Here is a 15,361-nt window from a genome sequence, read left to right as displayed (position 1 = left end):
TTCCCACTGAATGGACATCCTGCCTGCCTCTTGTATTTTGCTCTGAACCCTTTACCTCTGTCCTCAGGCCCTTGCCTTCATCTGGACTTGGATTTCACTCTATGCCCATCATCACACCCAGCCATAGACAGTATAGGTCTATGTTACTCAAACATTTGTTAATTTATTTCAAATCCAGCCATTTGGATAATATATGCATATGGTTTGTGAATTTATCTATAATGATGCAGCATGAGAATGATAACAAAAGACCTATTTTTAATAAATTTGTCTTAGCTTTAAAATAGGAATTATTCCTTTTAAGGCATGCATCTCATAGAAAAGCAAAGATAATGAGAAAATAGAATTTTTAAAAAATAGCTAAGTAAAAGGAATAGCTGCCTTATTTTCCTCGTTGAAACAACAAAAGGGCATCCTTTGGCCAGAGAGCTCATATTCAGCTTTTGGGAGGGAATAGAGTGTTTTGTCTCTGAGGGGTGACTTTTCACACCTGTTTAGGATTCTAAAAGTTTGTGGTGGGTTGGCTCGTTTTGTTGAGAGTGCCGGCCTTGAATTTTGGTATGTGGGTCAGCTAGCAGAGGTTGCGACAGTGCTCTGTGATGGGTGACCGTCCCTAGCCCTGGCCGTCTTGAAGTGGGTACTGGGTCATAAAGAGGAGGGGCAACCCACAGCCATCCCAGCTGATGCGAGTTCAGAGCCACGCAGCCCAGAGGAGACAGCAGGTCAGGAGTGTCAGCCTCATATGCAAAGGACAGCAGTCTTATTCATGCTGCTGTCTGACCAAGAAAACCAGAACTGACTGTCTTCTTGTTATTCCCAAACAAGGTGATGCCTCTGAGTAAACACACTTCTTGCAGGCAGAAGAAATATGGAGGAATACAACCAACATGATTCCTATATTTCATTTCAGCCAATACCTTTAGTTGTCCCAAAGTTCTTACTAGAGCATTTAATTCCTACTCACTTGAATTAATTAAGTTTTATATTTCTATCCCTTTTTGAAGAGAGGGATTACAACAGCAAATTGGCCTCACCCAAAAAACAAAGGGCCAGGACAATTCCATATACTGAAGTGTTCTCATTAACCTGCATTGTGTGATTCCTTGGCTGAGTGCTTGCACATTCTGAGTGCATAATCTTCATGGCAGCTCCATGAGTTAGGTTATTATACTCACTTTCAGAAAGGAAACTGAGCCCAGAAAGAATAAGTATTGTGCTTGAAAGCAAATGTCTAGTAAGGAGCAGCCCTAGAATTCCAGCCCAGGTAGTCAAGCTTCATGGCACCACTCAAAACTGCTTATTGTACGCCAGCTCTCGTATGAGTAACCACCTCCTCTCCTTATATTCCCTAATGAAGAATCAAGGTAATGATCAGAATAAATTAACTTATAGCTTCTCTGTCAGACTTATTTAAATCAAGGTTTCATCTAGTTACTTTTTTTTCTATTTGTTTGGTCCAAAAAAGTTTCCAACAAATTGATGAGCAGACGTGGCTTCTCTCTTTGACCGCCTTGGATCTATTGATGAGCTAATTCACTGGAGGAAGGGAAGAGAAAATCCAAGGTTTGGTAGTCACTGCTTTAGTAATAGTTGATTGTATGTGTTTTGATGTCAATTCAAATGACCGATTCCATCACCAAGCACTTGAAGACCTAATTCCTGGCACTAGGCTGACATCTTTAACAACAGACCTCAGAGGAATCTTAGAGATCATCCAAGAGATGTTCTTGCTTGAAATGCAAGTCTCAGCTTCGCCAGTGGATCATGGCCCAGTGACTTTGAGCATGTGGCCTGACTTCTCTCATAGGACCTCGAAAGAGCTTTGGAGAGAAATCAAGATGATGTGCTGGAGAGAACCTAGCATTCTCAGTAATTTTTAGTTCAATCTAAATGCAGAGACAGAAAGAGAGATTCTTTTTTTAATGTCTTCAACCTCAGTGATCTGCTCATCCAACAGTGCCTACCAACACTTCTGCTGGGCATGATTATTAGTTAATTAGCAAGGGCTTTAGAGCCAGTCCAACCAGGGTTCACCACACTTTACCAGCTGCATGACCTTGGGCATCTTATTTAGTGTCTCTAAGCCTTGTTTACTTCAGTGTGGATAATGAAATCTATCTCTTAAGTTTTTATTGTGACTAAATTAGATAACATCAGTAAAGTGCTGTTTTATTCCAATCAAAACCCTATTTCCTAGTTCCAAAGGTTAAACTAAAAATAACCTTTTCCTCTGCCATAATGACCTCTAACACACAGAACACAGAATTAGCAGATAGGAATCAAAAAAGCAAGCCTTGCTGTCATCTCCTGCCCTGTGAACTGATTGGAGAGGAAGGGCACTACCCCAGGAAAGAGTATGGGCCTGTACCACTCCAAACTCCAAATGGGGTTGTTCCATGCTGATGGGAGGGGTGGGTATCGTGTGGTTACCATCAAGGCCACAAAAGTCAAACGAGGAAAGCAGTGCTGTAAGGAGTAGCACAACCTAGGGTGCATGTCTTGTGACAATAAGCTTCTTCTGTGGAGGAAGCTAGGGGTAGGCATAGCTCTTACCTAGAGCCCTGGGTGTTTGCTGGTGAGGCAGCATGTGCACAAGGGGCCCACCATACCTTCAGAGACTTCCAACCATTCGTCATCTTCTAATTCAAAAACAGCATTTGTACCTGAAGTTAAATTACTGCACAAGGCGATATCACCTAGAAGGCCTACAGGCTTCACAAATTTAGGAGACTGGTGATCAAAGAGAAAAACTCATACTAATATAGTCTCTGTTGGGGCCCCTGGGCCTCTCACAGGAAATATTCTTTTTGAAAGAACACAGTTGGCTGGGCGTGGTGTCTCACCCCTGAAATCCCAGCATTTTGGGAGGCCAAGGCAGGCGAATCACCTGAGGTCAGGAGTTCAGAGCAGCCCCGGCCAACATGGTGAAACCCCGTCTCTACAAAAAATACAAAAAATTAGCTGGATATCATGGCATGCACCTATAATTCCAACTACTGGGGAGGCTGATGCAGGAGAATTGCTTGAACCCAGGAGGCAGAGGAGCATGTGAGCTGAGATTGCCCCATTTGCGCTCCAGCCTGGATGACAAGAGCGAAACTCCATCTAAAAAAAAAAAAAAAGTACACAATTAATAAAAGTACTTAACACTAATCATGGGACATAGTAAGTGCTCAATAAATAATAGTGGTTATTATTGGTTTTGATAGTGATTATTAATATTTAATGTCACCTATCAAATCATTATTTTAGGGTTAATGCAGGTAATCTTAAGCTGTATAACTCTGTAAAAATATGCATATTTTTATATATTTATGTACAAATATATATAGGTATATAGAGATTTATAATGTTTTTGTTTTTAAAAATTCCGAAGGTAAAAATTCAAGCTGTATGGTAGGGTTTAAAGTGAACTTAAATCTGTTTCCTTCCTCTAGTATATTTAGGTATATTGATGCATAATAGATTCTCAGTAAATTTAACACAATTTCAAATAACATACTAGATTATTGTACAATGCGATCTTCTGACTTAATGATTTCACATTTTATTAGTTGGAGGTCTGTGCCATGCTCCTGGGCTCAAGAAATTCTCTTGTCTTAGACTCCAGAGTAGCAGAGACTATAGGCATGTGCCATGGTGCCTGGCTACATGCTCTTCTATTTCACAAATGAGGCATGCTTTTTAAAAACATGTCTTCCGTGGATAACATGTATCTGTTTTTTATACCAATACCATGCTGTTTTAGGTACTGTAGCTTTGTAGTATATTTTAAGGTCAGGTTTTGTGATGCCTCCAGCTTTGTTCGTTTTGCTCAGGATTTGTGTGTGTGTGTGTGTGTGTGTGTGTGTGTGTGTGTGTGTGTGTGTGTGGGGCTATTTGAGTTCTGGTTCCATATGAATTTTAGATTTTTTTTCTATTTCTTTGAAGAATGTTATTGGTATTTTGACAGGGATTACAGTGAATCTGGAGATTGCTTTGGGTAATATGGTCATTTTAATGATATTAATTCTTCTGATCCATGAACGTGGGATGTCTTTCCATTTGTGTTTTCTTCTATTTCTTTCATCAGTGTTTTGTAGTTTTTGTTGTAAAGGTCTTTCACCTCCTTGATTAAAAGTATTCATAGATATTTTATTATTATTATTATCTTGTAACTATTATAAATGGGATTGCTTTCTTGATTCCTTTTTCAGCGAGTCTATTATTGGTGTATAGAAACACTACTGATTTTGTATGTTTATTTTGTATCCTGCAACATTACTGAATTTGTTTATCAGTTCTAAGAGTTTTTTGGTGGCGTCTTTAGGTTTCTATATATTTAAGATCATGTCGTCTGTAAAGAGGGACAGTTTGACTTTCTGATTTCCATCTGGATGCCTTTTATTTCTTTCTCTTGCTTGATGGCTCTGGCTAAATCTTTCAGTATATGTTGAATAACAGTAGCAAAAGTGGGCATCTTTGTTCCAGTTCTTAGAGGATTCAGTATGATGTTAGCTGTGGGTTTGTCATACATGGGCTTTATTACATTGATATATGTTCCTTTTATCCCTAATTTGTTGAGAGTTTCTATCATGAAGGGTGTTGAATTTTGTCAAATGAGTCTTCTGCATCTGTTGAAATGATCATATGGCTTTTGTCTTTCAGTCTGTTGATGCAATGTGTCATGTTTATTGACTGGCATATGTTGAATCATCCTTGCATCCCTGGGATAAATCCCACTTGATAAATCCCACGTGATATTTGATATGTTGGATTCCATTTGCTAGTATTTTGTTGAGATTTTTAAATTATTTTTATCTTTTTTAGAGACAGAGTTTTGATCTGTTGCCCAAGCTGGAGTGCAGTGGCATGATCATAGCTCACTACAGCCTTGAACTCCTAAGCTGAGGTAATTCTCCTGCCTCAGCCTCCCTAAGTGCTGGGATTACAGGCATGTGCCACCACTCTTAGCCTTGTTGAGGATTTTTGTGTCTTATTCATCAGTGATATTGGCATTGGCCTGTAGTTTTCTTTTTTTGCTTTGTCCTTATTTCTATTTTTACTCCTTTCTCATATTAATGAGTGAAGAGATAGGTTGTTCATCTTTTTCTTATTAACTTATTAGAGTTCTTTGGATATGAAGGATATTAAACCCAAGTCACTTATGTGACAATGTTTTCTTTTTGTCATTTTCATTTTGACTGATTATTGTATTTTTTTCCCAGACAAATGTTTAAGATTTTTATGTAGTCAGATTTATCAATCTTTTCTTTTCATGGCTTCTGAACTTTTTGGCATGCTATTTTAAAACTTTAGCATAGTTTCTGTTAGTGGTAGTAGAGGTGTGTTTATATACATATATATCTTTTAAAATATATGTGTGTTATATATATAATATTGCCTTTAAATCTCTTCATCTATAATTTATTTTTATATAAGCTATAAGACTGAGTGCGATGGCTCATGCCTGTAATCTCGGCACTTTGGGAGGCTGAGGTGGATAGATTGCTTGAGTTCAGGAGTTCGAGATCAGTCTGATCATCATGGCAAAACCCCATCTTTATGAAAAATATAAAAATTAGCTTTGCATGATGGCACATGCCTACAGTCCCAGCTATTAAGGAGGCTGAGGCACGAGAATTGCTTGAGCCTGGGAGGCAGATGTTGCAGTGAGCCAAGATCGTACCTCTGCACTCCAGCCTGGGCAACAGAACAAGCCTCTGTCTCAAAAAAAAAGATATAAAATAGGGATCTATTTTTTTTTCCAGTTGGCTAGCTCAGTTTCCCAACACTATTAACTGGATAATCATTCTTTTCCCATTGATTTGCAGTGTTTCCTATATCATGCATTAATCTCCCATACAGAGCTCAGTTTGTGGTCTCCTTGTAATTTCATTGATCTGCGCCAGTACCAAACATGTTTAACTTTTGTAGTTTTATATATTTTCATATCTATTAAAAAGGCTAATTCTCTTTTATTCTTCCTTTAACATTTTTTTCTAAACAGTTTCTGGATTTTAATTTTTTCAGTCAACTTGCGTAGCATTCTGTCAAGTTAAAATTGATTTTATTCTTCACTGGTCTTTCCTACATAATTTCCAGCAACCCCTGGAGGCAGGAAGAGTGTACACCCTTTGGGTGAAGTCTGGGCAGTATTGGGGTCTCCATTTAAGGTTCTCTTCTTCCCCCTGAAGCCATCTCATTGATTCTTTCATTCAGCAAATAGTTTTGAGCTCCTATGAAGCTTTGTGCTAGGAACTCTGAGGACCACAAAACTGGTAAGACATGACTCCTGCCTGAAATGAAGTGTAGATGCTTTACTGTGGTTTCCATTGTGTCTTCAGCCACCTCTGGGGGATCTCCTTCTGTTTTTGATGGCATACCTGGATTCAGTTAGCCATGCATACACATTCCCTTAATGAGAAACTTTAGCCAGTTTTTTAAAAAAATCATTCCAAAGAGTTATTTAAAGATATTTTTTCATCACACAGTTCCTGGGACTACAGAAATGACATGGGCGAGGCTCAAGTCCTTTTCCCTACTTTCTTCCTGTCTTCTAAACCAAGCTATATTATTCTTTTTTATGTGACAGAAGGAAGTCTTTTCTTTTTTTTTTTTTAAGACACAAGTGATTGCCTGAAGCTACTTTTAGGGGAAACATATATCCTGTTGTCGTATCTCTCTCTCAAGAATCTGACTCTCAAGAAAACAGACCACAATGTAAAAGTAGTGTTGGGTGTGCTGCTTTGTAAACCACTCTGGGGGCCATGTGAGAAGAAAGCGTCTCTCAGTCAATCACTTTTCCAGAAAAGTCACAGAAGTCCGTGTTTTCAGGCAATGATCAGCGCCTCATCAGTATGCAGCACTGCTTCTACCAGCAGCATATTCAGGATTTTCTGAACAAATACTGTGATTTCCTTTTAACGTCTCTGCTGAAACTAGATTAGTGCAGCTTGAGCAGCCACCCTGGAATGAAGACCTTGTGCCGGGTCTAATGCTGCCAAGTGCAACTGCCGGGATCAGCCAGCGGGAGCCACCCTGTCACACACCTGTCATGTAGGTTGATCAGAAGCTCTCATGAAGTTTTGACTAGGCAGGGTGGGTTTCTAGATCAGCTGCTCAGTGTCCCATGTTGTTATTCTGTGACCTGTATATAGTAAAGCTTGGTTGCTGGAGGCCACCTTCTCCCAGTAGGTGATCACTTTCGCTTTCCCAGAAGGAAAGTGAGCTCCACAATCTCACTGTCCCTACTGTTACAATAAAGTTCTTGTTGGATGCAAAAATGATCATGGGTGTTTTCAACTTCTGTTACTCCTTAGTCTCACAGAAGGTTTTTGATTTATTGCTAATTGTGCTTATTGATATAGCACTTCTTACATACATGTAAAATATTATGTGCTGATTATCACAGCAGTTTTTGCCCAAAAGCATCCATATCAAGTAATCTTTGTTTTTTGTTCTTTCCCAATGTATATGTTGAACCACGTGAAATTACAATTGCAATGTTTGCAATTTCATGATTCAACCTAACAAAAGGAATCTACCCTCTTGCTACCATCATTACCACTGGTTTAACTTGCAAATCTGCTTGTAGCTCACATCTCAGTTTCTCCTTTCTCAGAAGTGGCTAAATGGCCATGGCTGGTACAGATTTCCTTTCCATCTCTATCTGGGCCTTTTTGTCACCTCTCTCCTTGTACTTGTGGGGTCAATTAAAATTCTTCTGCTGTTATCTCCATTCATGGGTCTCCTCAGACTAGCAATTAAAAGAAACCTGTCTGAAATCAGGGCAATTATAGCAAAAACTAGCCAGCACAACAGGAAGGGTGAGATTGGCCAACTTTTATAAATTAATATTACTTCCTGTTAAATCAATTATGTAAAATAGTTGTAATAGAACCCATTAATTTGTATTCCATTTATGAGATTATTCAAAGCCTGTGCTTTAGTTTGAACTATACTGTATATTTATATATAGTTATAATTTAATTACAAGAAATAATCTGTAAATAAGTGGTGTGAACATAATCGGAGGCATTATCATTTTAGAGAAAAAGAAAACTCTCAGTGCTACCTTAGAATCACCTACCAAGAACTAAAATGCTGAAGAAAAATTTTGTGGTTAGAGCAGAAACTCAAAGAAATTCACAAACCAAAACCTTGGTAGCCTACAGATACCATGTGAATGCAGAAATAGTGAACATGTCTTTTGAAAAGCAGTCTGCCATTCACTTCCCATGATCTCAGACTGGCATTTTAAAAAATACGTCTATCATTGTAAATTAGTGAGATTCTGGTATTTGATTAATATTAACAAAATACTGAGGAATGTTATTTTGTTTTACTGAAGGCAGCTAAAATGTTTGATGTTTTAATGTAAGTTTTTGCACCAGATTTTATAGGGGAAATTTTAAAAAATGAATCTACCACACCCTTGCTCCCCATGTAGTGACCTATGAGGGTGTGTGGAATGGTGTGTGAGGATGTTCTTGTTGCCTGTCTGAGCCTCAGATGCCTCATCCGTACAGGGTGGATAATCATAACTTACTTCTTAGGGTTGATGTGATAATAATATCTATAAGTTAGTAAGGGATGAGCAAACATTCATTCTCTTCCGCTTCCCTTTAACAGCCTTTTATGAACATGCTCCTTTGCTACCCTTGACGACTCTTTGAAACCTAAAAAGGAGCTTTAGTCAGATTAACAGCTGGGGCTGAATTTTAGGTCTTCCATCCAATAAGAGTGAGCTGCTGTGATTGTAAGCAGAACTTGTCTTATTTTTTCAGCCAACATTTTTGAAAACCTATTTGTGAGAATCCATGCAAGATACCTTAGAGAAAAGTTATCTCGGCGATATAATTTCAAGAGTTCCTCACTCCACCAACGTGCTGGGAATGTATACTTATCAAGCGCTCTGGATTAAGGCATTGAAGACTGTAATTAAAAAAAGAACAAAACAAAACAAAAAAACTCATGAGGGTGAGGTTGCTAACAATTAGCGTCACACCAAGTAAACACAGCAACCTTGGTCAAGTAACCACCTGAGAAGAACTTAAAATCATGGAACAAAGAAGAGAGAGATTCTGATGGGAGTGACTGTGTCTTTCTTTGAACAAACTCGAGGTCCTGCCATGCCAGGCACTGTAGGGCCTATGTACTTGGAGACGCAGCCTGGACCCTGCTAGGCTAGGTGCCCTAGCAAAGAGTTCTGGGCATGTTTGATAAAGGGGGTGAAGGAAAAGGAAGCACATTTGCAAGAAAGGGAGGGGCCAGCCTGTCAAGATAAAGATAGCCTAATGACAACCTTGTGAGTGAGTTATATTCACTCATCTACCCGGGGAAATCTGGGAAAGTCACCAAGAATGGGCTGTGTTCCTTCTGCAATGTGGAAAAATGCATTGTCAAGTCATTACAAACAACAGAGAAAAATGGGCACAAACCCACTGGGAGTGATATATTTCTCTGAATATTCCATGATCGCTTAGTCCACTTAATGCAACTTTTTTTTTTTTTTTTTTTTTGAGACAGAGTCTCACTCTGTTGCCCAGGCTGGAGTGCAGTGGCACAATCTCGGCTCACTGCAACCTCCTTCTCCTGGGTTCAAACAATTCTCCTGTCTCAGCTTCCCAAGTAGCTGAGATTACAGGCATCTGCCACCACACCTGGCTAATTTTTGTATTTTTGTAGAGACGGTTTCACCACATTGGCCAGGCTGGTCTTGAACTCCTGACCTCAGGTGATCCGTCTGCCTCGGCCTCCCAAAATGCTGGGATTACAGGCATGAGCCACCACACCTGGCCAAATGCAACTCTTAAAATGCCAAATTTACACCAAGATTAGCGTTCGTTTATCTAATCCAGAAGGGAAACTGACATTTTGAATGTCTACTACCGCACAGCCCAATATGGTAGCCACTAGCTACAGGTAGAATTTAAATTTAAAATAATTAAAAGACAGTAACACTTTAAAATTCTAAAAATTAAATTAAAAATTCAGCATAGTAGTCTCTCTAGTCACATTTCAAGTGCTCAATAACCACATGTGGCTTGTGGCTGCCATATTAGACAGTGTCCATGTCCATCATTACAGTAAAAGTTCCATTGGACAGCGCTGGTTTAGTAGTATCAGCATTACTCTTGTACACTATGTTGTACATGTGTTATCTTATTGATTCCCAAATCTATCCCAAAGAAGGACTTCATTCTCATTTTGCAGATGAGGCAAGAATCCCCAGAAAAATAAGCAGTTCTCTTTCATGTAGTGGCCACTCCAGTATCTGACTGATGCTCAGCGTTCTGTGAATGGACAGCTAAGCTAGGTTGTGAGAGACTGGGATTGTTGGACTAGGAAGCCCAGCACTTCCAACAGTGGAAAGATTCTGTTCCAGTATGATCACATTTTATTTTATTTATTTATTTTTTTGAGACAGGGTCTTGTTCTGTGTTTCAGGCAGAGTGCTGTGGCATCATCATGGCTCACTGGAGCCTCCACCTCCCGGGCTCAAGCAATCCTCCCACCTCAGCCTCCCAAGTAGTGGGGCTATAAGTACACACTATCATGCCTAATTTTTTTTTAAAATTTATTTTTTGTAGATATGGGGCCTTACTATGTGACCTAGGCTGGTCTCAAACTCCTGGGCTCAAGCAATTCTCCTGCCTCAGCCTCCCAAAGTGCTGGGATTTCAGGCATGAGCTACCATGCCCAGCCTGGTTGCATTTTAAAATCAAACCTTTGTAGACCCTTGCTTCTCCTTGCTGTAATTTTACGATTTGCCTAAATACTAAAATTACTTATACAGTGAGAAAGTCTATTTCAGTTTTAAAAGGACAAGGTAAGTAAGTAGATGCCTAGTCCCGAGCTGGGAATGGAGAATGGCTGCAAATAGGCACAAGGTTTCTTTTGAGGTATTGGAAATGTTCTATTAGATTGTGGTATAAATTATGTTCTGTAAATTTATTAAAAATCACTGAATTGTCACTTAAAATGTGTGAATTTTACATATGTAAGTTATACCTCAATAAAGCCATTTTTTTAAAAAAAGAACAATATATAAATCCTAAAACTCTAGGGCAGCCAAAAATTTAATGTGAAAAAGCTGCCAAACCTTTAATTAGTGGGTCAAAGTTTAATTGCTGGTATTTTCCGAATTTCCCCCATGATGTTGAAAAAGAAATGATGTTTCATCTGGAGCCAAGCACCAGGAAACTCTACAAGGTATACATTATTATCTACATTTTCTAACGGAGGAAATTAGGATGCAGAAGGTTAAATAACTTGCTTAAGATTCACAGCCAACTAGAACTGGTGACAGTGTCAAACCTAATACTGTCTGGATCCAACAGCCATGGCTGCTGTCCTGTTGATATTATGCACCCTCTCTGTGTGAATGAGAAGAAGCCCTTACATTGTTTCACTTGAGATCACCTTCCTTCTCTCAGAAGACAGCAGCTAGCTGATTTTCCAGTGTTACTATCTGCATTTTGCATTTTGTACTTGAGAAGATTCCCTAAAGGGAAAAGAGTCTAGACCAAAATACCTTTCTTTTTTTTTTTTTTGAGACAGGGTCTGGCTCTGTCACCCAGGCTGGAGTGCTGTGCTGTGACCTTGGCTTACTGCAATATGACTTTATCACTACATGGTATGACTTGCAGAGGTGTCTGCATAAGAGCTTTTGAGGGACTAGTCCCTGTCATGTTTCTTACACGTGGGTTAACAGCTCAGTTTTAGATCATTTGATAAATTGGGTAGCTCGCTCCTACCTGTTTTATGAATAGAATGCTAGAAAATTATAAGCTCATGGGGCTTCCATCAGGTCTTTTCAGCTTTGGCCAGGCCTAGTAACCTTTACGTCTTCAGTTATGTTCTCTTAGCATCTAACATTCTTTCCTTCTTGCCATCTCTCTCTCTTTTTGATCATTAACTATTTAGCCAGATATCTGGGTGACGCCTCTCCAACCTGTCCTGCTCTTACTAAGCCTTGCATGGCCACTTGCCCTTCCTGGATACTTCCAGTGGTCAGGCCCAGGGAGTTTCCTTCTGGCCTCTCTAGCTCACTTGCTCTTCCCTCTGTGCCTTTGTAAATAACACAGATCCTTTCCTTTATCTTTTCCTTCCTTTTTTTCTGGGATATGTTCAACTAGTTGAAACAAAATAAACCAAACCAAACCAAAAATAAATAAAAACAAGAAACCAAGCCAGTACCAAGCCAGCAGAGCATGTCTATGGGCCACATGTGGGCTCTTGAATGTTGGACTTCTGCTTTTTCATATACAAAGCAATGTAGATGACATTAAAAAAACAACAACAAAGTAAATGTTGTAATGATATAAACTAATTATGAAAATGGGTATCACAGTGCTTTATTTTTCCCTCTACCAATATCCTTAGAAACAGGGAGTAAACAGGAACTTCTGCTTCTACATATTTGGCCATAGTAGAGTTTATTAGATTTGAGATTCTTACAGTGTCATTCACATTTCAACATAAAGTTCATTTGTAGGAGTCCCTGAGTCACTTCTTGTGTACTCAGAGATAATTGAATCCCAGGATTTGAAAAGTTGTTAAGGTACTTTCAGGAAATCAGCTGTCTTCTAGTGGCAGTAGTGGAGTGTGTATTCAGCTGCTTGACTCACTACCTCAGCAGGCAGCTTGCTTTTTTTGTGAACTGTAGGCACTAACCATCCCCAGGACATGTTTTCAAAACCAGGCAAGTGCCTTCTTCCTGACTTACGTACCACAGTCTCACTTGGGTTCCTGATGTCTTCACAGCAGCCAGTTCAGCTCCCTTAGAATGGTCCATCACACATCCCATTTCCAGCAAAGCATTGCCTAGGACTAACTCCAAACTGTTTTTGTAGATATTTTAGAAACACTGGGTCAGGCACAGCGGTTCACACCTGTAATCCCAGCACTTTGGGAGGCCGAGGCAGGAAGATCACCTGAGCCTAGGAGTTTGAGACCAGCCTGGGCAACATGACAAGGCCCTCTCTCTACAAAAAAAAGAAAAAATGAATAAAAATTGAAACATTGTGTTTTTTTTTCTCTTACTCTGGATTTTATGCAGCTATACCTAAACTCAGACAAAAGGTGTATTCTGAGAGAACTCTGCTTTAAAGGACTTCAAGATAGCTCTCTTTTTAGGCAATGAATACGTCTATGAAAGTCACCCTGCACTTACTCGTTTTGTAGGTCCAAAGTTTTTCCCTAGTAGATTTGCACAGAAGAATTTGATTATAATTCAGTTAACAAATACATTTCCTCTATAAAGGGCACTTTCAGAAGCACTATATAAAGTTCATGGATTTGGACACATTGCGGTTATCAGGTTTATAGTACATCTTCTATGCAGTAAATACAGTAAGAAAAATGGCTACATTTCAAGATGGGTTATTGTGCATATATAATCATTGAGAAATTAATGCTTTTTGTTTTTATCAATGTGAAAATGTCAGCACTAGGAAATGAGGATGAAAAGTTGATTTATTGTGTGCCTGTTATGTGCCAGGTCCTGGAGTAGGTATTTTAATGTCACATGCAGCTCAGTGTGGGATGTGAATCTGCTGGCTCTAAGGCTGAACTACCTGAGTTTGAGTCTCAGCCTTCCCACTGCTGCAAGGATTCAGTGAGATAAAGTGTCCAAAACATCTAGCCCATGCTGGTGTGATAGCAAGAACTCAGTAAATATTACTGCTCATTATATCTTGTTCCATTTAATCCTGTGAAGTAGGCACTGTCCCTCTTTAATAGACAAGAAGACTGTCTCAGAGTGGTCCAGTAACTTCTATAAAGTTTTCTGCAGTATGTTGCAGAGGCAAAATTTAGAACCAGGACTTGACTGGGCACTCTGATAAAACCGCTAACCAGGAGTTCTTGTTCTAGGCTGCCAGGAAAATCTATGCTACCCTTGCTAGAATGATGGCCTCTACTGAGAGACAAAGTTGCCCTTAAAGGCAACAAATTCACAAGTCAACATTTCTACATGTAGAAAAACTTTCAAAGGACCAGATTCAGCAGTCAACTATTTCTTAAAGCTTTTTCCCCCACTCAGTGGACAGCAGATTCTCAGCTATATGGATAGGTCTATGTTTTTCAAAACCTGTGCATGATTTATGAAACATAATCAAATACACCAGTCCTCCCAATACCTCTGCTGTGTAAATGTTACCATCTATGCAAATATCAACTTTTAATGCCAGCTTAAGGAAACTGTAAGGATGATGTTCCTGTAGCAGCCATAAGACAAACCTCCAGGGTTTTTTGCGGTGGGGGAGGCAAGGAAGGGGTTGACTTTTTAACTTCGCCACATCAGTCAGACTGGATTTCAGAACTTTTTTTTTTTTTTTTTTTTTTTTTGAGACGGAGTCTCGCTGTGTCGCCCAGGCTGGAGTGCAGTGGTGCAATCTCAGCTCACTGCAAGCTCCGCCTCCGGGGTTCACGCCATTCTCCTGCCTCAGCCTCCTGAGTAGCTGGGGACTACAGGCGCCCGCCACCACGCCTGGCTAATTTTTTTTTTTTTTTTTGTATTTTTAGTAGAGACGGGATTTCACCATGTTAGCCAGGCTGGTGTCGAACTCCTGACCTCGTGATCCTCCCACCTCGGCCTCCCAAAGTGCTGAGATTACAGGCGTGAGCCACTGCGCCTGGCCTTTTTTAATTTTTTTATTTTTATTTTATTTTATTTTTTTTTTGAGATGGAGTCTTGCTGTGTCATCCAGGCTGGAGTGCAATGGTGCCATCTCGGCTCACTGCAACCTCTGCCTCCCGGGTTCAAACGATTCTCCTGCCTCAGCCTCCCGAGTAGCTGGGATTACAGGCGCCCCCCACCATGCCCGGCTAATTTTTGTATTTTTAGTAGAGATGGGGTTTCACCATGTCAGCCAGGCTGGTCTCAAACTCCTGACCTGGTGATCCACCCACCTTGGCCTCCCAAAGTGCTGGGATTACAGGCGTGAGCCACCGTGCCCAGCCTTCAGTGCTGTTTAAATAGCTCTTCTAGTGTGGGCTTCAACTGAGAACATCCCTGTTTTCATCCTCAAGGTTGTTTTTCTGCTCAGTGTTCTTGTTGACCACGTCTGGGCTGCTGCAGGACAATGATTGAAGTTTTAGTAGTGAAAGAGTTCAATAGTGTTGACATTGAAACTGGAAAATCATTTTACTAATGTAAGATGATGCTTTACTATATTGAAATCTTAGACAAATAGATGACCCATAGCCCAAATACAGGTAGGATTTATCTTTTGTAATAAGCTGAGTCTCTTTTTCCTTTAGATGTATATGCAAAAGAGAAGATGGATGAAAACTAACGTTTCACAAGTGATATGGGCTTAATATAGCACAAAACAAGAAGAATTGGTGCTGAGTATCACATAATTTTCATTGC

At 39.8% G+C, this 15,361-nt stretch overlaps 1 protein-coding gene across 23 annotated transcripts in view; it reads left to right on the top strand.

Annotated features, from left to right (window-relative positions):
- CACNB4 (calcium voltage-gated channel auxiliary subunit beta 4) overlaps positions 1-15,361 on the top strand; it is a 266,397-nt gene that overhangs the window by 200,199 nt on the left and 50,837 nt on the right. The window contains exon 1 of one of the 23 annotated variants that reach the window (XM_011511796.3): positions 10,644-11,620. The exons of the other annotated variants lie outside the window; for them this stretch is intronic. Within the exon in view, the coding sequence (XP_011510098.1) occupies positions 11,618-11,620 (3 nt within the window). The 5' untranslated portion in view covers positions 10,644-11,617. Of the gene's footprint in view, positions 1-10,643; positions 11,621-15,361 lie in introns of those variants that run through there. 23 annotated transcript variants of the gene reach the window in all.

Source organism: Homo sapiens, chromosome 2 (assembly GCF_000001405.40).
Source record: "Homo sapiens chromosome 2, GRCh38.p14 Primary Assembly".
In the NCBI taxonomy this organism is placed as follows: domain Eukaryota; kingdom Metazoa; phylum Chordata; class Mammalia; order Primates; family Hominidae; genus Homo; species Homo sapiens.
The sequence above is the reverse complement of the archived record's forward strand: the minus strand, read 5'-3'. Positions and strand labels throughout refer to the sequence as shown.